The sequence below is a fragment of the Homo sapiens genome, chromosome 8 (assembly GCF_000001405.40).
Source record: "Homo sapiens chromosome 8, GRCh38.p14 Primary Assembly".
NCBI classification, from domain to species: Eukaryota; Metazoa; Chordata; class Mammalia; order Primates; family Hominidae; genus Homo; species Homo sapiens.
In genome coordinates, this window is record NC_000008.11 from 138,427,437 (window position 1) to 138,452,830 (window position 25,394).

The 25,394-nt window shown below is 40.0% G+C and overlaps 1 protein-coding gene across 12 annotated transcripts in view; it reads right to left on the reverse strand.

Moving 5' to 3' along the window:
- FAM135B (family with sequence similarity 135 member B) overlaps positions 1-25,394 on the reverse strand; it is a 367,708-nt gene that overhangs the window by 297,414 nt on the left and 44,900 nt on the right. For 7 of the 12 annotated variants that reach the window (XM_011517061.3, XM_011517060.3, XM_017013471.2 and 4 more), the window contains exon 2: positions 14,204-14,348. The exons of the other annotated variants lie outside the window; for them this stretch is intronic. The gene's annotated coding sequence lies outside the window, so the exon portion shown is untranslated. The remainder of the gene's footprint in view (positions 1-14,203; positions 14,349-25,394) is intronic. 12 annotated transcript variants of the gene reach the window in all.

Consider the following 25,394-nt stretch of genomic DNA (forward strand, 5'->3'; position numbering starts at 1 on the left):
AACAAAAACTATCATTCAAAAATATAAGTTAAGTTTTCTGAACCTTGACCTATGAGACAATAATTATGATATCTACTTTCACTAAGTGAAAGTGAGAATGAAATTTGAAAACTTAACACTGCAACAACTTGCCAGCATAATAAATACTTGTAATGGGTCAGTGAGTGAGTAAACGTGTCCTGTAAATGCTATTACATTAAGGTTAGGCCACTACATTGTTTAGAAAACCATGTAGCAGCACTTATTAAGAGTAGATCTAAACACATTACATAACATAGCTATGTCAATCGAGCCCTAGAATGTACAATATATTGTATATTGCTGTTGAAATCGATGTAACATCATTCCCTGATCATTTTCCATATTTTAATTTATATTGCCTGTACTTCATTGATACATCTTTTATTCCTGCCATAACAAACTTCCTACTCATCCCAAATATGCCCCATGGATTTCTCCACCTGGTCTCAAGCCAGATGGTTCCATCTTCTCAGAATTCTCATCCACCAACCTGTGCAAAGCGTACCTATTTCTTCAAAGTCCTCTCACTCTTTTTAACTCCCATGATACTTTGCCTACTTCTCCAATAGCAATAACAGCACCACGATCATAATAGGCTTCCATTAGTTGGGTGTCAAACTTTGGGCTAAATGTTTTATGTTAATTTATAATCCAATCATCCCCTGGAATAGTACTGATAGTCTGTTGATATTTTTAACAGAAAAAGATAAAATAAAATAAACTAACAGTAACTATGGGAATTGGGCATTGTCCTCCCATTTTTAAATAAGAAAATGAAGTCTCCCGTTGACTAAGTAATACATAGATCTATCCTACACAATTAGGGCCTACAGAACTTGGGACTCAAAACCACAGCTAGTATACAGTCCAACGCCCAAACTATCTTAGCTAGTAATTGACTACTGAAATTACGAACTTTCAGAATGATAGATCCAGACATCAAGCTGTCTCTGCTTGCAACATAATTGTGATTTCTCTGTTTACAGCTGGGGTACTAAGGCAGAGATTTATTTCAGTGCCTAGGCCATTGTCTCATTGTCTCATATCTTGTGTAACAGAGGAATCATAAAATTGGAGTCATGATTCCTCAATTTGCAGGTGTGTTAATGGTAGCACAGAGAGGTCAAGCAATGCCCTCAAGTTCACCCAGCTAATGTTGGCAGGAAGCAAACTTAGAACCCACTGATTCTTGATACTTTTATGCCAGGCTCCCTCCACCACAAAAGCTACCTCCTTAAAGATCCACATGTTCATGAGTCTTAGTAGGGATCCCTGCCCATTCATAACAAAGGGCTAATGAGGTCCCACTTTCCTTTTAAACTGCCCGTTATTTTTAGACTTGCTTTTGTTTCTGCTGTTTTGGATGCAGGCTTCTATTTATACCTCGAAATTTAATTTGAATATCTCATTCTCTGGGGAGTCTTATCAGATCATTTATGCCTCTATTTCGTTCCACAAACTGCCCCCAAGGGCCTACTATGTAGGAGGCAGTGGCCAACGTACTGGGGATTCAATGGTGAATAAAAAGTCATACTCCCTGTTCTTCAGAGCTTATCTTTTGTAGTGGGGGAGAAGGGGAGTGCTCACATGCATCACACTGAAATGCAATTTCCAATTGTGGTAAATGCTATGGACAAAAAATATGGGTATCTTTAAAAGAGTATAACGGGGCATTGGATCTAGTTGATGAGGTCTGGGAAGGTTTCCTATTCCTTAGGTAAAATTAAGAAACCTGGCACTATTTGTACCTCTGCACTTACCCTCACTTCACTGTAATTTATTTGCCTACAGGCTATGAGTAACACAAGTACAGGACCATGTCCTATTCACACTTTGAGCCCATGTCCTATAAAACTTGCATGGTATATGATAGGTGGTTAATAGCTCTCCCTTGAATTGGCTTTTATTATCATCACCATTATTGCTGCTATCCTTGTGGCTACCACCATTGTTGGAGAAAAAATGTGGGACGTGTCTGAATCCAAGCCCCATGTGACGAACTCTATTTTAACTGCACCTTCTTGGCACGTAAAGGAAGCAAACAACAATTTGTTGACGACAAAAGAAATGAGAAAGCTGACTAACTCCAACTGCTTCTCTGAAATGCTAATTTGTTTTCAGAGCCTCTTCTCTGGTTCCTTTATAGCAATTTTACAAGCTTGTAGCAAGGACAGCTTTCTGTTAATGACTACTTGCAAATCCAATATGATGACTGTGTTTTGTCTTAAGCTGGGTTAAAACACTAGCTTACAAGTAGAACAGCAGAGGCAGAGATGTTGGCGGCCAGTCCAGAGCAGAGATCAAAGGCACTATCCTGACAACAGATATTTGCTCTTAGGTACTTTAAAAATTAGAACTATGTTTTTTTAACATCCAGAAAGCCCTTTTCAGAAACACTCTCCAACTACCATACTGGAGAAAGAAACTGACTGAGGCCTGAGAAGATAAATTCTAGGTCATACAGTCATACAGCAAGATAGGGTGAAAATGGGTTTTAGGCCCTATCTTTGTTGGTTTTGTTTTATGCAAAACTCTTTCTACTATGCCGAGTTTCTTTAATAGCATGCCAGAAGTATGAAATTTCAGCCAACGCAGCACTTTCTAGAGAAGGGCTATAGTGATTGCAAATTTAATGTAAATTTTTCCCATGGTATTCCACGCCTTCACCACCTTCCCAGTTCTGTCTTCTCCTGATCCTTCAGGAAGCTTACTCTGCAACAAACGGCTGCTGCTTCATAAACACCTCACTGTGCCCATGCTGTTCCCACTTCCATCTGTATTGATAACAATAGTCACTACTGATCACCTGTTATGTGCCACACACCCAGTAAGATGCTTGGTATATGCTTCTTCCGAAGCTCAGAAGAACACTGCAAGGACAATTAGTATGTATTTTTAATATACATGCATAAAATCACCCTGAAACTCAGTGGCTTAAATTAATAATGATTTGTTTGCTCTCAATTCTATGGATCAGGAATTTAAGCAGAACTCAGATGGGCACCTCCACATCCAGCTTGGGAGCTCTCAGCTGAGGCTGGGATGTGCTTCTCTCAACATAACCTCTCTCTCCTGCTGGGCAGGTGCTGGCCTCCAAGAGGATACATTCCACAAGGTGACGGTGGAAGTTGTGAATCTCCTAAGGCTCAAACTTGGAAGGAAAACAGGATCACTTCTTCCACATTCTATTTTTTAAGCCAGGTGGCAGAGTTGGCCTGGGTTCGAGGACGGGGGTAAAAAGACCCTGCCTCCCAGTGGGGCTGTGATAAAGTCAACTTGTGAAAGAGCAACTGGGATAAGACAGGAAATATTATTACAGGCATCTTTGGGAATAAAATCTACCAGAATATAATAATTACGAAACTGTTCTTTGGAGTCAAACATTTCAGCTCTGCCATCAGCTGTATGTCCATGGATAGGTTATTTCACCTCTGAGCCTCAGTTTCCTCATCCCTAAAATGGGAATACCACCACGAAATTTCCCAAGGGAATAAATAATGTATAAAATGAGCTTAATATCATGCCCACACAGAGTAAGTCTCCATACAGTTTCTATTAATATAATTAATTATCTAAGGATACTTTTAAGAGTGAAAGCCTTATGAAATTTACATAGAGACAACAGGTATACACCAGAATTTATGTTCACCTCCAGCTAACATTATCATTAACCACTGAAAATGGGGAAAATCAAACTAAAATTGAAACTGAAAGAGATTAATTAGCTTACACACATTCACTAACTCACTCACACTTACACACTAATGAAACTTCTCTTATGTGCTAGGAAAGAGAAAACATGCCCCTGCCATCTTGGGACTTGTATTCCAGTGACAGACAGACTGAACTACCAAACAAGTAAATAATTTCTCATAATATGCCTCTTAATTAAATGAATCAGGTTAAAGAAAGAGAGAATACATTAGTGGACATGGTTTCACCTGAAAGAACGAGATAATGCTGATTCAAATGGCTTAAACCAGGGGTCCACAAACCAGCCCATAGGCCTAGTCTGACAACTGCTTTTGTAAATAAAGTTTTATTGGAACACAACCACACCCATTTATTTACATATACTTTATGGCTGCTTTCATGTGACAATTGCATCTTCAAGTACTTCCAACAGATCACATGGCCTGCAAAGCTTAAAATATTTCCTATCTAGCCTTTAACAGAAAACTTTTTCCAATCCCTGTTTTAAACAATAGAGAAATGTATTATCCCCCATAAATGAAGATTTTGAGGAAGACAATATCATGTCCTGAATCACTGCTGTCACGTGGGACTCAGGATCCTCGCATCTTTCCATTCTGTGGCCTTCAGGCTACAGCTTCATGCAAGGCTGGGTCCCTTTAGGTTTGCAAGATGGAATACAGATACTCCAGACTCAGATTGACAGAGAGTCAAGAAGAGAAGAGAGCATCCTCCAGAGGAAAGGCCACTCCTAAGAATGCCTCTCTTGGGAGGAAAACAAAATCATTCCCAGAGGCACCCAAAGATAACCAACAATACCAGACTTCATCAGCCAGAAGTGTGTCATGTGTCCTCCCCTAAACCAGCCACTGGGCAGGGAAGGAGACCAGCACAACTGGCTAATACCCATCAGAACGATCCCTGGGGATGGGTGTAGGCTCCTTCTCCCCTAAATTGTGTTGAGGAGGGATACATGTATAAACAAAGTTGGCACAAAAGAGGAGAGACTACTGGACCCCAACAGTGTCTGATATGAAAGTGATTGTAGTCAGCATAAAGGTAAAATGTTCCTTTATAAAACGTGTTCAGAGAAGGAATCTCACAGGATATGATGCCTGAATGTAGCCCTGAATGATAAGAATGAACAGGCCTTAGGTTCTGTGAAAGAGCTTCCCAGATAGAGGGACTTGCTGGTAAGGAGCAAGAGTGGTATTCAAATTCCTACACTTTGGATCCAAAGCTTGCATGGTCTCCACTACTCCAAGCTGTCTGCTGAAACTGCACCTGTTCCCAAACAACAGTCTCTAATATCATGGTCTTCTGTGCAGTCTTTGACCATGTCCTGCAAACCAGGTGTGTCATCTTACCCATCTTGGTACTTTTCTCCTTCTGCTTGATATATAGAGAGAGTTATACAGGTTATTTTGCCCTAAGCAGGTTATCCACATCCCTAAAATAGGGATAGCATCCGTAGCATCAGGTACCTCCCATCTAATCATCACTAACAGAAGAGGGCAAAATCTAACTGGTAGATATTTTGCTCTTTCATCTTCTATTAGCATAGGAACTCCTTAAGGTCAATGACCATAGCTGGTTCCGATACACATGTACCATGACATCTAACACAGAGTGAACACACAGTACATTCTTGATGAATATACATCAAATTAGACACAGTAGTATAGATCCATGGCTCAGCTTGATTCAATTTGTTGGGGGGTGACGGGGCCCCAGAAAACCTTAATGTTTGTAAAACAGTCCAGGTACCCAACCAAAAGGCACACAGGAAGGAATGACAATGGAACATTGTCCATCCAAAATCTGTTCCCAGAGGACTGACGGGGAAAATACAAAGTCAGACAGAACAATGAGGCAAGAGGCAGGAGAGCAGTCCACTGTATACAGATAGCAAAGGGTAGAGGACACATGTGGAAGGCCTAGAAAGTCATAATAAAATTAGATCTGACTTTTTCCAGCAATGAAGAGTCACTGAAAAGAAAACAAGATTTACTGATTACTTGTTATATTTCAGGAACTGTGTAAGGTATTTTATATATATCTTTAATCTTCATTTAAAAAGATTATTAAGGCCGGGCACGGTGGCTCATGCCTGTAAATCCCAGCACTTTGGGAGGCCGAGAAGGGCAGATCACTTGAGGTCAGGAGTTCAAGACCAGCCTGACCAACATGGTGAAACCCCGTCTCTATTAAAAAAACAAAAATTAGCCAGATGTGGTAGTACATGCCTGTAGTCCCAGCTACTCAGGAGGCTTGAGGCAAGAGGATCAATTGAACCCGGACAGCAGAGGTTGCAGTGAGCAGAGATCATGCCACTGCCCTCCCAGCCTGGATGACAGAGCAAGATTCTGTCTCAATAAATAAATAAATAAATAAATAAATAAATAAATAAATAAATAAAATAATTTTAAAAGAGTATTAAATAAATGTAATCTCTATTTCATAGTTGATGAAATTCATGCTCAGGAAGATCAGGTGGCTGAAGCTCACATGGTGAGATGATAAATCTAGGATTCTACCCAAATCTCTTTGATGTTCAAGTTTATGACTTGTTTTCTTAGCCACATAGTTGACTTCTGACCAATGATTTAAGAAGCTCAACCCAGTAAGAAGAGAGAATGGGTTTGCTGGAGAGGGAGAGAAATCAGAGGTTGGGACATTAGTTAAAACCCGTGGCAATAGCCCAGGACAGAGAGGGTGAAGTCTGGCTCTGAGTATCATTATCAGAAATCAACCATACATAGAAACCAAGTGGATGAAGAGAAGGGAGCAGCTGCAGAAGACACAAACGCATCCACCTTACGGAGATGGGTTCTGGGAAAACAAGCATTTCTGCTTATGCCACTATTACTAAATAAAAGCAGCATTGACATTGCCCTTGGGATTCTTGCTCTAACTCTGGGCACACATTCTAAGCTTAGACAAGCTTTAGTCACAAGGACAAAATATTATTAGTTTAGCTGTGTTTTAGCTCCAGCTTTCTCTATGAATCATGTGTGCATGAATCATAATCACCACTCTTCATATTTTAGAAGCAGATGTATAATTTTTCTTACCCAAGAAAAAAATCAATTGCTGTCTAAATATGAATCTAATGTTGTTTCTGAATCTCTTTGATTTATTCAATTCTGAGCTTTCATATTCTTTGGGAGTGAGAATAATCAGGAAAGCTTACAAGAAGGTGACAAGGTGACACACACTGAGCATTTGCTCTGTCCATGACTGCTCTCCACTTTTCAAAGTCAAGGTGGGTGTAAGTGTTCCCATTATTTTATAGATGAGGAACCTAAGGCTCATATAAGCAATTTATTGGCTTGGGGTCACACAGCTAGTAAGCATCACAAGGTAGGATTTCAATTAAAGAGTGTCAGACACCAAATTATATGCTTCCAATGACCCTTCCCCAGCTTACCTAGCTACAGTGTAAAAATATGGTATTAGGCCAACTGACTGCATGTCACAGTTCTCTTTGGAGATGACATTCAAAGCTCTTCCCAAGACGGCCTTGTCATTTGTTGTTTACTGTCATCTTAGGACACTGCATTAACAGTGGAAAGCTACTTACCTCTGAATATGTTCACTGTCTATGAAATGGGGATACCAATCCCACCAGCCTCTTACAGTTGACATGAAGCACACGGTTCAAGTAGGTGGGGGTACATGCCAGTATTGTGTCACTAATAACAGTGACACCAGTCAGATTGGACACCTCTCAGCTCCAGGACATGATCATGTAATTCCCTGAGCAGTTCTACCCTCCTGCTACTGAATACAAGTTTCCTCTGGCACATTACCTGCTCCACTATCAGACAATGTACATATTTTCAATCTTGCAAGTGTGGCTGAAGCCACACGCCAGCCAGGCGCGGTGGCTCGCGCCTGTAATCCCAGCACTTTGGGAGGCCGAGGCGGGTGGATCACGAGGTCAGGAGTTTATGGCCAAGATGGTGAAACCTCATCTCTACTAAAAATACAAAAAATTAGCCAGACGTCGTGGCAGGCGCCTGTAATCCCAGCTATTTGGGAGGCTGAGGCAGAGAATTACTTGAACCCGGGAGGCAGAGGTTGCAGTGAGCCAAGATAGCTCCATTGCACTACAGCCTGGGTGACAGAGTAAGACTCCATCTCAAAAAAATAAAAAGAAAAAGAAAAAAAAAGAAGCCACATGCCAAACTCCATGATGATGCCTCAATGCACCTCATCTCATTGATGCCCCTAACCAATGGTGAAGCTTGGAGTGTTATCCTCAGGTTACTGATGAGAAAGCTGAAGTTCTGAATGTTGACATGTCCACAGGTGTACTGCTTTATGATGCAGTAGCCTTGCTGTATTTAAATGCAATAAGACTACTAGTGTATTGAATTACATTACTTATTAGAATGCAATAATATTACTTTTATTATTTATCAAATACAATAGCAATATCTATAAGTAGTTATGTATAGTTTTAGAACAGTTTTTGTATTTTCAATTATATTATCTCATCAGGCCTCAATATTCTCTAAAATTTAGGTCTACAATAAATATTTCTAAAAAAAACACATACAAATGAATCAAAACACATATTTGAAGGTCACAACTTGCCCTCTGGTCTGCTCTCAAAATTGTCTTTCTAAATTGCAGATTTTATCCTATCACCCCTTTGTTTAAGGGGTGACTTAAGCAAAGGAGGGGAGACTTCAAATCTGATTTATCAATAGAACTGAAGTAAGCAATTCCAATCATGATTCAAGACTGGGGATCTGGATTTAGCAGATATTTCAAAACCACCTTGTTCTCCTTGTCTTTTTGATCAGGGCTATTTCAGCTTTCTACCATCCTGCCCTTCCTGACCTTCAGACTATACTATCTGTGACAGCCTATGTGCTCCATTGGGTCTCATGTTATGATAACAGTGTCGTAAAAGAGGTGGAGAGGTGGAGACCAGATCCTTCACTTTTACTCACTGTGAAATACAGGGAATATGCAATTTAATGCTTATCTTACATGTGATAACTGGGCATTGGGAAGGGCAAACAAGCGGCTAAGCAAATGCTAAAACGATGAGAGAACCCGGATCTGCAAGAGATGTTCTCTGGGAAGAACTCGGTAAGATCAATGGATATAAATTGCTGAAAAAAATCACACTTATATGGTTACTTCTTCCATTTATCTGGAAAATACCCCTGAGCATTTTTTTTTATGCAATGCATAGCGGCACTGTGATATGAGAGGGTGACAATCATATGATGTGGAAAGGTGGCTCACTCTACAGAAATATTTGTAGAAATGTATTCATTCACACTGGGCAGCAGGAATCAAAGTGTCTGCTTGTTTTGCCAGTGAACACCAGGTCCTGAGTCCAGCCTTCTGTGAACTGCAATGACAGGCTAGTCTGTGTTCCCAGGGACCTCCTCCCACAATCAAAGACTCTAAGGCATCAGTTTGCAACCATGTGTTCACGTTGAACAGAAAATCTTTACACAGCATGTCAACATAGGTGGGCATATTTGATTCTGACTGATTTAGCCATCAAGTCTGATTAGAATGTGACTTTCCAAACAGTGTGAGCATAGCAGGAAGAGGTCTTGAAGTTAAATGAGCTGGTAACATTTTATAAGGGCCATGCAACCTTCAGCAAATCCTTTAAGATTTCTGAGTCTTAATTTCTTGTTCTGTACAATGGAGATGAGAACCTGCCACATAGAGCTGTTGTAGAATAAAATTTATTGACATATTTACTATAGTATCTTCTCATATTCTGAGAGGTTGGAGATTTCCTTGCCTTTGTCCCTTGGACCTTGGAGTGCTGCAGATCAATACTGATAAACAGGATGGCATAAATAAGGAGAATAAAGTCCAAATGCTGTGGCTTGTTTTTAAGGCACCCTGTGCTCTGACCTCCTCCAACGGTGTTACTTCATCTCCTCTCACTGCCATTACTGAACTCCCATTTCAAGTCAGCAGCTTCTCTTAATGACAGGAATGTGTTATATTCCTCAGGGGTTTAGAAATAGAGAAGAATAAAGTAATAACGTTTGGTAATGATATTGGTAGAGAAGAAGAATATAGACACAGCAATCAAACAAACATGGGTTAAAACCCTAGCTCTGTGATATAGTTAGGCTTTGTGTCCCTACCCAAAACTCATCTTGAATTATAATCCCCATAATCCCCACCTGTCATGGAAGGAACCTGGTGGGAGGTAATTGGATCATGGGGGCAGTTACTCTCATGCTGTTCTTGTGGTAATGAGTGAGTTCTCATGGGATCTGATGGTTTTATAAGGGGCTCTTCCCCCTTCACTCGATACCTCTCCTTCCTGCCGCCTTGTGAAGAAGGTGCCTTGTTTCTCCTTCCCCTTATGTCATGATTGTAAGCTTCCTGAGGCCTCCCCAGCCATGCTGAACTGTGAATCAATTAAACTTATTTTCTTTATAAATTACCCCGTCTCAGGCAGTTCTTCATAGCAGTGTGAATATGGACTAATACACTCTGCCATTTCCTAGCTGCAGGACCCGTGACAAGTGGCTCAGCTGCTTTCAAACTGAGTGTCCAGGGCTGTAAAGTGAGGATAAATCCTATCTTACAGCAGCATAAAGTGAAGATAAGACTTATTTCACAGTGGCATTGTGAGAACACAACACACTACCACAAACCCAGTGCCAGGCATAATGCATGGCTTACTGCAGCCATTCAGTAAATAGTAGCACAAATATTCTTATTAAGAATACCAGAATTCAGGAATCACTACATTATTGTCATTATAATTCCGAAGGGCAATGAAATTTGGTAGCATGGTTGATGTGCTAATGCTGAAATCACCTGTTCTCAGAACATCTCTATTTGATTAGTCAAAGAACTTATTTGTGCTTCAATTCGCTCACCTGTAAAAACACCCGAGAGTACAAAAACAGTCACCTTCTTTGTCTGGGAAACCTGCTCATTTTAATTAACCTAAAAGGTTTCTAGCAATTCATGTTTGTAAAGCACTTTGACATCCTAAGAATAAGAGGCAATTTAAATGCAAAGTTTTATTATAACAGCTTTTTTTAAATAATTATTACTCAAGGGGCTCTCAAGCGAGAAGGAGCTCCTATAATTTCACACCTCTTATCTAAGAGAAGGTGCCGGGTGGCTATTGAAGAGCCATGTCTCAAGTACTCCATGAGAGTTCCTGGAACTCTCCTTCCTTAGCAAAAATAATGTGGGGCAGAATCAAAAAATATAATAAAGGGTAGTAGAAAGAGTGATAATATGAGTGTCTTCAAATACCAGCTAAATCTTGATTGCTGCTACATCTACAAATCAAATTTGAATTGCACTTCTGAGCTCTATCAAAGAAAAAAACAGAGCTAGGCAGTAGTTAAAGTGGTAGAAACAGACTCTATTCTGGATTATTGAAACAGGAGAAAAGATGCTTCAATATAAAACTGGGTTCAATTTTGAATACAGCACAAGCAAGGGGAAATATATAACCAAGGAACAAGAGAGGGATCAGAGGATGGAAAACAACTAAGAGAAAACCTCAGAAGTAAAAGGATTCTGGCAAAACCCACTGAACTGGATTCTTGCCAAAGACAGGCCAGGATGATCAGACATCACCTGAGGATGATGCCTGGCACAGTAGTCCCAACCAGATACTGGACCAGCCATTTAATAATATGTAGCAAGGACTAAAACCAGGTTTCCTGGGGACTGCATTTTACTCCTTAGCATTTCCTGTCTTTCAATGGGATGATCTTCTTGACCTAAAATTGCCATGGCAACCTTGTGGGTGGGGTGGAAGAGGTCACTATACAAACAGGTTATCAGTGACAGATGTGGCTTCTGTTCCATAACTGGTACCTAAAAAAACAAGTGGGTCATCACATTAGCTTGACTCAGGACATCTCTCACCAGGCTATTAGCCTTTAGAAAACACAGAGCTCAATTAACTTTCATGGAAATTGGATTATTTCCTGCCCATTTGAAGGCCTTCATTTATCCACCAGGAGCTGTACAAGGCAAAGTTTCTGGTGTGTATATACCTGAAAATCTTTGAGGAGGCTCCAGTACAAAGATAATATTCTTCTAGGTTACAAAGAACCTGCATGTAAATTACCAATTATCATTTCATAATGGCCCTGTGTGGTCAATATGAGAGAATCATAGCACATAGGACAATAAATGACGTTCAAGATTAAGCAGCTAATCACATATGTCATCATTAGGTATGAATTCAGACCTGCCTGATCCCAAATCCCATTCTCATTCCACTACACCATGTGACCTCAGTAGTCCTCATGGGTTACAAACACCAGTCTCATCTTCAAACTCCAAGGTAAAGCTTCATAGGCCGACCTCATAACATCAGAGGAGGACATTTCCTAGGGGGAGGGAACATGTCATGTTGGGTTTCCCTTTGACTGGAGTAGTCAAGGGATACTCCAGTCTCTGTGAATGGGGATGAAGCATTAACATTAACAGAAAGGGAAAGAACTTTCTACTGTAGTGCCAGAACTTTCCACTGTTACTGTGTGCCAGAAGCTCTCCCAGGTGCTTCACAGCTGCTCTCTAATTTAATCCTAACCCCTCTGCTAGGGATGTATTATTGTGTCCCATGTTACAACTGAAGAAATTCGTGCTTAGAAAGTTTGACTGTCCAATGTTGAAATGTGAGCAGAAAAGGCAGACCTGAAATTTGGAACCAGTTATTGGCTACAGGGCTTTGTAAACTTTGGCCAAGCACTTTCCATCACTCCAGGTACTTCTAAAGTAATTCAATAGATAACTGAAGCAGTCATGGTTCCTGGGATGCCAACACTAATCCTGGCTTACCTGTGCAAGAATGGACCCACTGGAGAACTGGAGTGCAGGTGCGAGGATCATAGGGAAGATAGTGTGATGAACAAGGCTAAGAACTAAGAGCTATCAGGGTGTTCTTGCCAGTCTCATCAGTGAGAACTTGACAAGCTCACCAGGTTCCCACCACTGGGCTGCAGGAACTATAATGTTTTCTTTTGTGTTGACTCATCTCAGTTAAGACTTAAAGTTCCAGGTGAGAGGTAGCTTCCTGGCCATATTAAGGTCATCGCCCCAGCTTTTGGCTATGCTCTTGCAAATAAATGTCTCAGGAACCCTTAAGCCACCCCAGAAGAAGGCATATTTCTGGGGTTACTTTCAACCAAGAGCATACATTCAAGAGACAATTCATCTAGAGGAATGTCTGGGTGCTATTAGGAGGGAGAAATGGGTGCAAGATAGTGACAAATATCTAGGACAAAAGTAAAATATGGGCTTTATATTTAACAGATAATACATACAAAAGTCCAAAAAAGGTAAAATTAGAATTTAAATATTTATAATAATGCACATGAAAGTACTAACTGCATTGTCTAAATCATATCTAATAAAATCACCATCACCGTCATCACCAAAATCATCATCATTGCTATCATTACAAGATAACATAAATCAGTTCCAGAGCCAGACCACAAACCTAGGTTACTGGACACCTTACCCAATACTTTTTTGACATGAGATATTTTAGAGGTGTCTCTCACAGAGTATAGATGGGAAACATCTTTAGAAAGGCAAGATCAATTTAAAATCTATCACATTTCTGAGATATACTCATACTGTAGGCTTCCTCTAATTGATTGAAAAAGTGGCTATGATATTTCATGACATGCAACTCAAGAGGTAGAGCCAATTTCCATGCCCCTTGGTCTGGGTGGTAACTGAATATGCAGAAGTGAAACTGTGTGAGTTCCTGAGCCTTCTACTTTGCTATTTTGGAGTGTTCCTGCCACTATGTAACAAAGCCTACACTAGAATACTAAACACAGACCTTAAAGAAAGAGAGGAACAGTTAGCGCCTGCACCAAGACCCCCACACATGTGAGTGAAGTCATCGTAGACCCTCCAGCCTCAGTGGAGGAAGTGCTCACTCTAGCAAGTGCCTTGGATGACCGAGTGGCTGCTCCACGTGGCTACAATGTTAATGATGAATACAAGCATGCTGGGATGGATATTTTTTACAGCACTGGAGAGTAAACAGAGGAAAATAACAAGATCTAGCCTTCAGACTGTCTATCAACTCAGCTCTGATGAGAGAACAAGTTTGTTTCTGGGGTAGCCCTAAAATAATCTCTTATTTCATGTAGTCACAGGGAAGATAAGGCTGAAAATCAGAACTAAAACTTTCTTATGCAGGTTGCAGAATTATGAGGAAAGCCAAATTTGCACACCCAACAAGTCTCTTCTGTGAGCTTTAGGGCATCAGTTGGAAAGAGTGGGACAATGACACTTTGAATGGGGGTGTTTTATTGGATTGAGACCAAACTGGAAATCTTTATCCATCAGCATCACTATTGTGTGAAGAACTAAATACACTCTCTTGAACACAGCCTGACATCCTATTTGCTTATTTTTTAAACAATGCTTTCTCCAGTTAGTACATACATTCCACGAGAGAAAGAATTTCTGTTTGTTTGCAGATTTCACTCACTACCTGAAACAATGCCTGCAAGTATGTTCTCTTCTTTTGTGACTTCCCTTCCAATTCTCTGCTTTCTGCCATATAGCTTCTCTGCTTTTTTTTTTTCCTTAGATTAGCTTGAGACCTTGATTCAAATTCGATCATATGAGTGGACCTAGGAAGCAAGGATATTTTACCCTCAGCAGCTGTGAGAAGGGGGTAGTCTGAAGACTCAAAGAGTGCAGTCTTGATGACAGAGAATATGCTGTGTGAGGAGACAGCAAATAAATAATTACAGAGCAAAAGAGAGAGAAATTTGGAAGGAAGGAGGAAATAAGGGGGAAAAAGAGAGAAGTGTTGGGAAATCACACACACACCGAGTGATGCAGATTGGTGTTAGTTGAATATTTTGTATGTCAAGTTCTGTAAGTCCTTATGCAGCAGGCAAACGATGTGAAGGACCATTGTATTATCTCCTCCTTTAATATTACAAATGTTGGAAACTGAGGGTCTTAAACTATTACATAATCTGTCCAAGGTATATGAAATAGAACTAGAATACAGCTTGTCTTAGCCTAGCATCTTCAATTTGGAAATAAAAAAATTTAACGTGAAGAATATGGACACCATATATATATATATATATATATATATATATATATATATATGAAAAACCTTGGCAGTTGAATATCTTTTTATAGGCACAATGTATATGTTTGGTTGTGTGTCTATATTTCTGTGTTTACTATTTTATTTGTTCAACATGAAACATTTAATGAGCACGTACTACTATGTGTCAGGCACATACAACATCCTTTGAAGTGAATGCTGTTTAACATCCTCTTTCAATGGGTTTAAAAATGTCAAGTGATAGGATGTAGCTAAGACTTAGGTTAGACCTCGCAGATCTAGAGTTACTATTTTTTCTACTGTGTTGTCTCAACCTGACCTCTACCACCAAACACAAAGCAAAATAAAACAAAGCAAATAAAAACAGAAAGAAAGAGAGGAGCACAAAAACAATCAAAAACATTCTGGAGAGTAGCCAGGATGTTATCCCAGGCACTCCACAGAAAGCAGAATGTAAAAAGTAATAGATCTCCAATTCACCAAGTCCCCTTAGTAATGAATTCCAAGCAAACCACATTGTATCAGAAAGCCCTGCTGTGCTGAGGAGTTCCCACTCCCAGGGGGAAGGACTGATGGGCTCTAGCTGTGTCTATAATTTGATAAGACAAGGACAGCAATGGAGTTTGGGAAATGGATCAATTTTAATGCAATGCCACTGACAAATCAGAAAGGACTACGTGATGGTTGTCAGGAGAACATCCCTGCACCTCCTCGTCCCTGTGTGCGAGGATGGCTTGTCTTTAATAAGTCAGGGGATTACAACCCCAGTGAGGCTGCTGCTACTGATGAGTCAGGACTCACCCAAAGGCTTGCATTAAATGGAATGTAAAGACCCCAGTAGGTCCTATCTCAAGGCTGTGTGTTTGTGGAGTTGTGTGCAAAGGAGAGAAATAGCCCATGATCCACCCTGATGCCAGGCCATAAAAGCCTCGTTGCTCATCACATCTGGGTAAAGCAGATTTTATCAATCCCCCCAAATAAAATAGGAAATTAATATCCCAGAAATAATAGGTTATTGAGACAGAAATTGAAGTCTGGTCTATCCATTCAAATATTCTTTTCTTTTTCTCTTTTTCTTTCTTTTTACCAGATCCTGTGGGTTCCAAAGACATTCTCCAAAAAGGAGCCAGAAAATATGATCTGAACTCTTGAAATCAGTATTATATGGGGTCCACTTAAATACCTGGGTCTTTCACTATGAAGCACAAAAGCAGGAAACCAAAAGCAAACAAAAAAAAGGACATTTTTCAAAATCTTACACCAAACCTGAAAGGCAGAACTCACACAAATAAAATTGCTAATTAGTTAATCCAAGACATCCTTATTTTCAAAATTGTCATTCATCAAATTAATTCACTCAGCAAGTGTTTACTAAGCACTGACTGAGGGACAAGGGCTGTTCCCAATACTGGGAATTAGAGAGCAAACAAATGACAGGGTGTATGGAACCCTCCTGTTGTGGAGACAACAACATCAACAAAGAAATATACTTTATGTCAGGTAAGACGCAGGTTATATGCCAGCTAACATCATAATGACAGGATCAAATTCACACATAACAATATTAACCTTAAAGATAAATGGGCTAAATGCTCCAATTAAAAGACACAGACTGGCAAATTGGATAAAGAGTCAAGACCCATCAATGTGCTGTATTCAGGAAACCTACCTCATGTGCAGAGACACACATAGGCTCAAAATAAAGGGATGGAGGAAGATCTACCAAGCAAATGGAAAACAAAAAAGGGCAGGGGTTGCAATCCTAGTCTCTGATAAAACAGATTATAAACGAACAAAGATCAAAGAGACAAAGAAGGCCATTACATAATGGTAAAGGGATCAATTCAACAGGAAGAGCTAACCATCTTAAATACATATGCACCCAATACAGGAGCACCCAGATTCATAAAGCAAGTCCTTAGAGACCTACAAAGAGACTTAGGCTCCCACACAATAATAATGGGAAACTTTAACACCCCACTGTCAACATTAGACAGGTCAACGAGACAGAAAGTTAACAAGGATATCCAGGAATTGAACTCAGCTCTGCACCAAGCGGACCTAATAGACATCTACAGAACTCTCCACCCCAAATCAACAGAATATACATTCTTCTCAGCACCACACCACACTTATTCCAAAATTGACCACATAGTTGGAAGTAAAGCACTCCTCAGCAAATGTGAAAGAACAGAAATTATCACAAACTCTCTCTCAGACCACAGTGCAATCAAATTAGAACTCAGGATTAAGAAACTCACTCAAAACCGCTCAACTACATGGAAACTGAACAACCTGCTCCTGAATGACTACTGGGTACATAATGAAATGAAGGCAGAAATAAAGATGTTCTTTGAAACCCACGAGAACAAAGACACAACATACCAGAATCTCTGGGACACATTTAAAGCAGTGTGTAGAGGGAAATTTATAGCACTAAATGCCCACAAGAGAAAGCAGGAAAGATCTAAAATTGACACCCTAACATCACAATTAAAAGAACTAGAGAAGCAACAGCAAACACATTCAAAAGCTAGCAGAAGGCAAGAAATAACTAAGATCAGAGCAGAACTGAAGGAGATAGAGACACAAAAAACCCTTCAAAAAAATCAACGAATCCAGGAGCTGGTTTTTTGAAAAGATCAACAAAATTGATAGACCTCTAGCAAGACTAATAAAGAAGAAAAGAGAGAAGAATCAAATAGCCGCAATAAAAAATGATAAAGGGGATATCACCACCGATCCCACAGAAATACAAACTACCATCAGAGAATACTATAAACACCTCTACGCAAATAAACTAGAAAATCTAGAAGAAATGGATAAATTCCTCGACACATACACCCTCCCAAGACTAAACCAGGAAGAAGTTGAATCTCTGAATAGATCAATAACAGGCTCTGAAATTGAGGCAATAATTAATAGCTTACCAACCAAAAAAAGTCCAGGACCAGACGGATTCACAGCCAAATTCTACCAGAGGTACAAGAAGGAGCTGGTACCATTCCTTCTGAAACTATTCCAATCAACAGAAAAAGAGGGAATCCTCCCTAACTCATTTTATGAGGCCAGCATCATTCTGATACCAAAGCCTGGCAGAGACACAACAAAAAAAGAGAATTTTAGACCAATATCCTTGATGAACATTGATGCAAAAATCCTCAATAAAATACTGGCAAACCAAATCCAGCAGCACATCAAAAAGCTTATCCACCATGATCAAGTGGGCTTCATCCCTGGGATGCAAGGCTGGTTCAATATATGCAAATCCATAAATGTAATCTAGCATATAAACAGAACCAAAGACAAAAGCCATATGATTATCTCAATAGATGCAGAAAAGGCCTTTGACAAAATTCAACAACCCTTCATGCTAAAAACTCTCAATAAATTAGGTATTGATGGGACGTATCTCAAAATAATAAGAGCTATTTATGACAAACCCACGGCCAATATCATACTGAATGGACAAGAACAGGAAGCATTCCCTTTGAAAACTGGCACAAGACAGGGATGCCCTCTCTCACCACTCCTATTCAACATAGTGTTGGAAGTTCTGGCCAGGACAATCAGGCAGGAGAAAGAAATAAAGGGTATTCAGTTAGGAAAAGAGGAAGTCAAATTATCCCTGTTTGCAGATGACATAATTGTATATCTAGAAAACCCCATCATCTCAGCCCAAAATCTCCTTAAGCTGATAAGCAACTTCAGCAAAGTCTCAGCATACAAAATCAATGTGCAAAAATCACAAGCATTCTTATACACCAATAATGGAAAAACAGAGAGCCAAATCATGAATGAACTCCCATTCACAATCGCTTCAAAGAGAATAAAATACCTAGGAATCCAACTTACAACGGATGTGAAGGACCTCTTCAAGGAGAACTACAAACCACTGCTCAATGAAATAAAAGAGGATACAAACAAATGGAAGAACATTCCATGCTCATGGGTAGGAAGAATCAATATCGTGAAAATGGCCATATTGCCCAAGGTAATTTATAGATTCAGTGCCATCCCCATCAAGCTACCAATGACTTTCTTCACAGAATTGGAAAAAACTACTTTCAAGTTCATATGGAACCAAAAAAGAGCCCGCATTGCCAAGTCAATCCTAAGCCAAAAGAACAAAGCTGGAGGCATCACGCTACCTGACTTCAAACTACACTACAAGGCTACAGTAACCAAAACAGCATGGTACTGGTACCAAAACAGAGATATAGACCAATGGAACAGAACAGAGGCCTCAGCAGTAACACTGCATACCTACAACTATCTGATCTTTGACAAACCTGAGAAAAACAAGCAATGGGGAAAGGATTCCCTATTTAATAAATCGTTCAGGGAAAACTGGCTAGCCATATGTAGAAAGCTGAAACTGGATCCCTTCCTTACACCTTATACAAAAATTAATTCAAGATGGATTAAAGACTTACATGTTAGACCTAAAACCATAAAAACCCTAGAAGAAAACCTAGGCAATACCATTCAGGACACAGGCATGGGCAAGGACTTCATGTCTAAAACACCAAAAGCAATGGCAACAAAAGCCAAAATTGACAAATGGGATCTAATTAAACTAAAGAGCTTCTGCACAGCAAAAGAAACTACCATCAGAGTGAACAGGCAACCTACAGAATGGGAGAAAATTTTTGCAATCTACTCATCTGACAAAGGGCTAATATCCAGAATCTACAGAGAACTCAAACAAATTTAAAGAAAAAAACAAACAACCCCATCAAAAAGTGGGCGAAGGATATGAACAGACACTTCTCTAAAGAAGACATTTATGCAGCCAAAAAACACATGAAAAAATGCTCATCATCACTGGCCATCAGAGAAATGCAAATCAAAACCACAATGAGATACCATCTCACACCAGTTAGAATGGCGATCATTAAAAAGTCAGGAAACAACAGGTGCTGGAGAGGATGTTGAGAGATGGGAACACTTTTACACTGTTGGTGGGACTGTAAACTAGTTCAACCATTGTGGAAGATAGTGTGGCGATTCCTCAGGGATCTAGAACTAGAAATACCATTTGACCCAGCCATCCCATTACTGGGTATATACCCAAAGGATTATAAATCATGCTGCTATAAAGACACATGCACACATATGTTTATTGCGGCACTATTCACAATAGCAAAGACTTGGAACCAACCCAAATGTCCAACAATGGTAGACTGGATTAAAAAAATGTGGCACATATACACCATGGAATACTATGCAGCCATAAAAATGATGAGTTCATGTCCTTCGTAGGGACATGGATGAAGCTGGAACCTATCGTTCTCAGCAAACTATCGCAAGGACAAAAAACCAAACACTGCATGTTCTCACTCATAGGTGGGAATTGAATAATGAGAACACTTGTACACAGGAAGGGGGACATGACACACCGGGGCCTGTTGTGGGGTGGGGATTGGGGGATGGGAGGGATAGCATTAGGAGATATACCTAATGTAAATGACAAGTTAATGGGTGCAGCACACCAACATGGCACATGTATACATATGCAACAAACCTGCATGTTTTGCACATGTACCCTAGAACTTAAAGTATAATAATAAAAAAAAAAAGAAAAAATAAAGCCTCAGGTTATATGAAGACAAAGAAGGGTAAAGGGACAGAGTGCTGGGGAAGCTGTTTTGAATATCAGTGATCACAGAACATCCTCTGTATCATACGTGACCATACTCTTTAGGTCTCCAAACCACCCTTTTCTCACAGGAAGTAGAAGATCATTGTTTACTAGATCCTATGATCTAATTTGGCAAGCTGAATCAAGGCCTCAAGCTAATCTAAGGAAAAAAAATAAGAAAGCAGAGAAGTCATATGGCACAGAGCAGAGAAAGGAAACAGAGGTCAGAAAAAAAAAAAAAAGAAAAAGTACTTGGGGTGGGTGTCAGAATTGTTTGGGGAAGGTGTGATGGTTGATTTTCTGGGTCAACATGCCTGGGTTACGGGGTGCCCAGATATTTGGTCAAACTTTATTCCCAGTGTGTTGGGGAGGGGACTTTTGGATGAGATGCACATTTGCACTGGTGGACTGAGTAAAGCAGATTGCCCTCCCTAATGTAAGTGGGTCACATCAATCAGTTGAAGGCCCCAATAGAACAGAAAGACTGCCCCTTCCAAGAATAAGGGTGGACTCCTTCTGTCTGTCATTTTTTCCTTAGATTAGCTTGAGACCTTGGTTCAGCTCACCAGATTAGATCATAAGAGTGGACATAGTTAGCAAGGATCTTTTACTTACTGTAAAAGCTGGAGTATCACTTATTTCCAGCCTTTAGACTCAAACTGAAATATCGGCTCTTCCTGGGTCTTGAGCCCGTCAGCACTTGGACTGGAGCTGCACCATCAGCTCTCCTGGGCTTCTGGCTCACCAAGTGAAGATCTTGGGACTTCTCAGCCTCCATAATCACATGAGCCAATCCCTGATCTCATATAATAATATCATGAAACTAACATATTATATTATGAAATAGATTTCATAATCACACAAGCCTATACCTTTCTTCTGTTCCTCTGGAAAACCTAACACAGGGGGAAAAAAAAAAAAAGCTAGGAATCAGAAAAAAAAAGTTCTTGGGAGATAGTAGCTGTTTCCATGGAGATTACTAAGAAGAGCAGAGGGAGAGAGAAAACCAGGATTTAAAAGATGATCTTCTATATTTTATGGGAACCCCTCTTTATACACTAATCTTTGTTTGGGAGATCTTTTCTCATGAGACTAAATACATATTTCAATCTCTTCCATTGTATTGCTGATACAGTCCAATTGTCATTTCTTTTAAACAATTATCTAATATGTTTACTATAAATAAATTGACGCCACATCAGGCCCAGGTTTACTCACAATGTAAAATTATCTGAGTAGCTGCTATCTGCTAAGCACCAAGGATACAGGATGAAAAAGAACTTACAAATGGGTGAGAAAGGCATTCAAATGCTTCTCACATACATAATTAATTCATTACAACTGTATTAAGTAGAATAAAAGACAAGCACAGGCTGCTAAGAGAGCTTGTGCTGGAGAAACTTTCCTACTCCAAAGTGCCATAAAGGGATTGAGGCTGGCCCGGATTACAGCTGAGATCCAAGGAGCAAGAAGGGAGGGAAAGGAGTGTTCCAGAGAGAGGAGCCCACAGGAGGAGGAAGGGCTCTGAGAGAGGACGGAGCTCAGAGCTGTCAAATTGTTGAGGTGAGAGTGGCTGGACGTGGGGAGGGGGGCAGTAGTGAAACAGGAGCCGTAACCAATACGAAGGGGTGGTCATCTAAGTGGAAACTTGGGAAGCAGTCATGGGCCCACCACTCAAGGCCAAGACCAACTTCAGGATTCAAACTCTACTAAGTGCATTGGAAGCCTATTTAAGCTACAGAGGAATCTGCTCAGATTTCTTTTTCTAAGACTTTATGTTTTTCAAACAGCTTTAGGATCACAGAAAAATTAAGAGGAAGGTATAGAGATTTCCCATAAACCCCCTGTCCCCACACATTAGAACATCCCCCATTATCAATATTTCTCACCAGTGTGGTGCATGTGTTACAACTGATGAAACTGCAGTGACACATCATAATCCTCCAAAGTTCCGAGTTCACATTAGGATTCATTCTTCATCAAACCCTAGATGTTATATCTTCTATTGGTTCAATCCCTATATATACATAAATATTATATAATCTATGGGTTTGAATAAATAGGTAATGAGGGCATCCAACATTATGGTATCATACAGAGTAGTTTCACTGCCCTAAAAATCCTGCCTTCTGCCTCTTCTTCCCTCTCTACCTGCTGACAACCACTAACATTTTTGCTGTCTCCATAGTTTTTCTTTGCCCAGAATGTCAAGGAAAAGCTATGCCTTTTCAGGCTAGTATCTTTCACTTAGCAATATGCATTTAAGTTTCCTCCATGTCTTTTCATGGCTTGACAGCTCATTTCATTTTAGCCCTGAATATTTCATTGTCTGGGTGCTGCACAGTTTATTTATCTACTTAACTACTGAAGGACATCTTGATTGCTTCCAAGTTTTGGCAGTTATGAATAAAGCTGCTATAAACATACATGTGCAGGTTTTCATGTGGATATATGTTTTCAACTCCTTTGGGTAAATACTGAGGAGCACACTTGTTGGATTGCCTGTAAGAGTATGCTTAGTTTTGTAAGGAATGGCCAAACTGCCTTCCACAGGGATTATATCATTTTGCATTCCCACCAGCAACAAATGAGAGTTCCTATTTTTTTCCACCCTTGCCAGCATTTGGTGGTGTTGATGTTCTGGATTTTGGTCATTCTGATAGGTGTGTGGTGGTATCTCATTGCTGTTTTCATTTACATTTATCTGATAAACTATGATATGGAGCTTCTTTTCATATGGTTATTTGCCATCTACATTTTCTTTGGTGAAGTGTCTGTTATAATTTCTGGCTCACTTTTTAATGTGGTTGGTTATTTTCTTATTGTTGAGTTTTATGGTCTTTGGGACACCAAACATCCTTCTCATTCCTTACTCAGCAAGGGCTCATTAGCATTTGACTCAGGCTCTGTCAATCAGTCGTCTTCAATCTTGAAGGAATGATGCAAAAATGCAGACATTTATTGAGTGCTGTCTGTGTCCTAGACACTGTGCTAAACTACGTGAATTATCTAATTTACACCTCACCTGATAAAATTGGTACTATTATTATCTCAACTGCATAAATAATAAAACTGAGGCCCATAAAGTTTAAGTAATTTGACAATTATCACAAAACTAATATATGAAGTGCTGTGATCCAAATCCAGGCAGTCTGGCCCCAGGGTCTGCTGTCTGGACCAAGACATTCTACTGCTTTTAAAAAGTGGCCGCAGACTAGCACACAGGCCCTGCTCATTCAATGGGATAGCCTTGACCAATTATAAACCCTGCCCCTTAGCCTCAGGGGTCCCTGCAGCTTCTGCTAAGTTCTGAACTAAATCTCTACCATGTTACTAATTCAGCAATTCCCTCATATTCTTCCAAACCACTCCCTTTTTGTTTAAGATGATCAAGTTGCATTCTTGTTTGCTACCAAGAACCTTGACTGACACACTTCTTGTTGCATATGCCGTATTGTTATTAGGGTAGAAGTTTTTGAAATGGTTCTTGGATTTTAGCAAAGGGCAGTTACTTGGACAGCAAGAAGATACTTGAAGAAATCCTAAAAATAGAGAAGGTCTTGAAGGATGAAAAGGAAACAACAGTAGCTATACATGCTGAGTACAGGTGTCCTATGAGTCACCTGGAGATGTTTAAAGTAAGGGGACAACCCCTACAGCAGAATTTCCTATGAACAAGCTTGAATGGTGAAAAATCACAGGGAATCAAATGAACATAGAGGTTTGAGGTGTTCAGTACAAGGGCAACTAACTCCTCCGTCAACTGGAATAGAGTTTGCTATGAGCATGTTTACTGATCTTTAAATGACTCCTCTTTTGCTTTCACTGCAGATGTGCTCCTCTAAAGCCATGGAATCTGTGCTACTCAGCACTCCACACCCAGGGTCCCCAACAGTGCCTGACACAGATAAATGTCCAAAAATATTGGGTAAAAAGATGGACTTATGGATGGATGGGTGAACAAATGAATGGGTAAATACAGGAATGAGAGATGTTTCAAGACATTGCGGTATAGTCTGTGAGATTTAACATATTAGAAAAATGATGGCTGATGGCACAGCCCATATTTTCCTCCTTCATTCTTTTTCACCTTGCTCATAATTTTTATAATTAAGTTGCATTTAAATGCAGACAAAATACACTAATAAAAAATTATCACTTTGTAGGCATAAAAGTCACAAAACAATATTAATTTTATTATACTATGACCCACAATTTCCTATTTCATCCACCCAATCTGCTTTTTTTTTTTTTTTTTTTTTTTGAGATGGAGTCTTGCTCTGTTGCTCAGGCTGGAGTGCAGTGGCATGATCTCGGCTCACTGCAACCTCCACCTCCCAGACTCAAGGAATCCTTCCACCTCAGCCTCTCAAGTAGCTGAGATGTTCCACCACACCTGGCTAATTTTTATAGTTTTAGTAGAGATGGGGTTTCACCACGTTGGCCAGACTGGTCTCGAACTCCTGACCTCAGGTGATCCACCCACTTCAGCCTCCCAAAGTGCTGGGATTACAGGCATGAGCCACCTCGCCTGGCCCCAATCTGCTTTTCAAAGTGGAGGTGACCACAGTCTACAGATAAAGAGTAGGATTGAGAGGCCCAGGAAAAATAAAAGTGTCCACACCAAGACACAAAGAAGTGGCGCGAGCTTCAGCTTCTACATAGACATCCTTCTGTGTCTTTTCCACTACACTGTAATAATTATCTACACTGGTTAACAAATTATGTAAATACTCAGCAATTATAAACAATAACCACTTATGAGCTCACAGTTTTTGTGGACACGGGATTCAGAAGTGGCTTAGCTGGATCCTCTAGTCTAGGGTCTCTCATTAAGTTGCAGTCAAGATGTCAGTTAGGGCTACTGTCATCTCAAGGCTCGACTGGGGCTGGAGAATCCATGCTCAGAATGTTCATTCCTCTGTCTGGCAAGATAGTGCTGGTTGG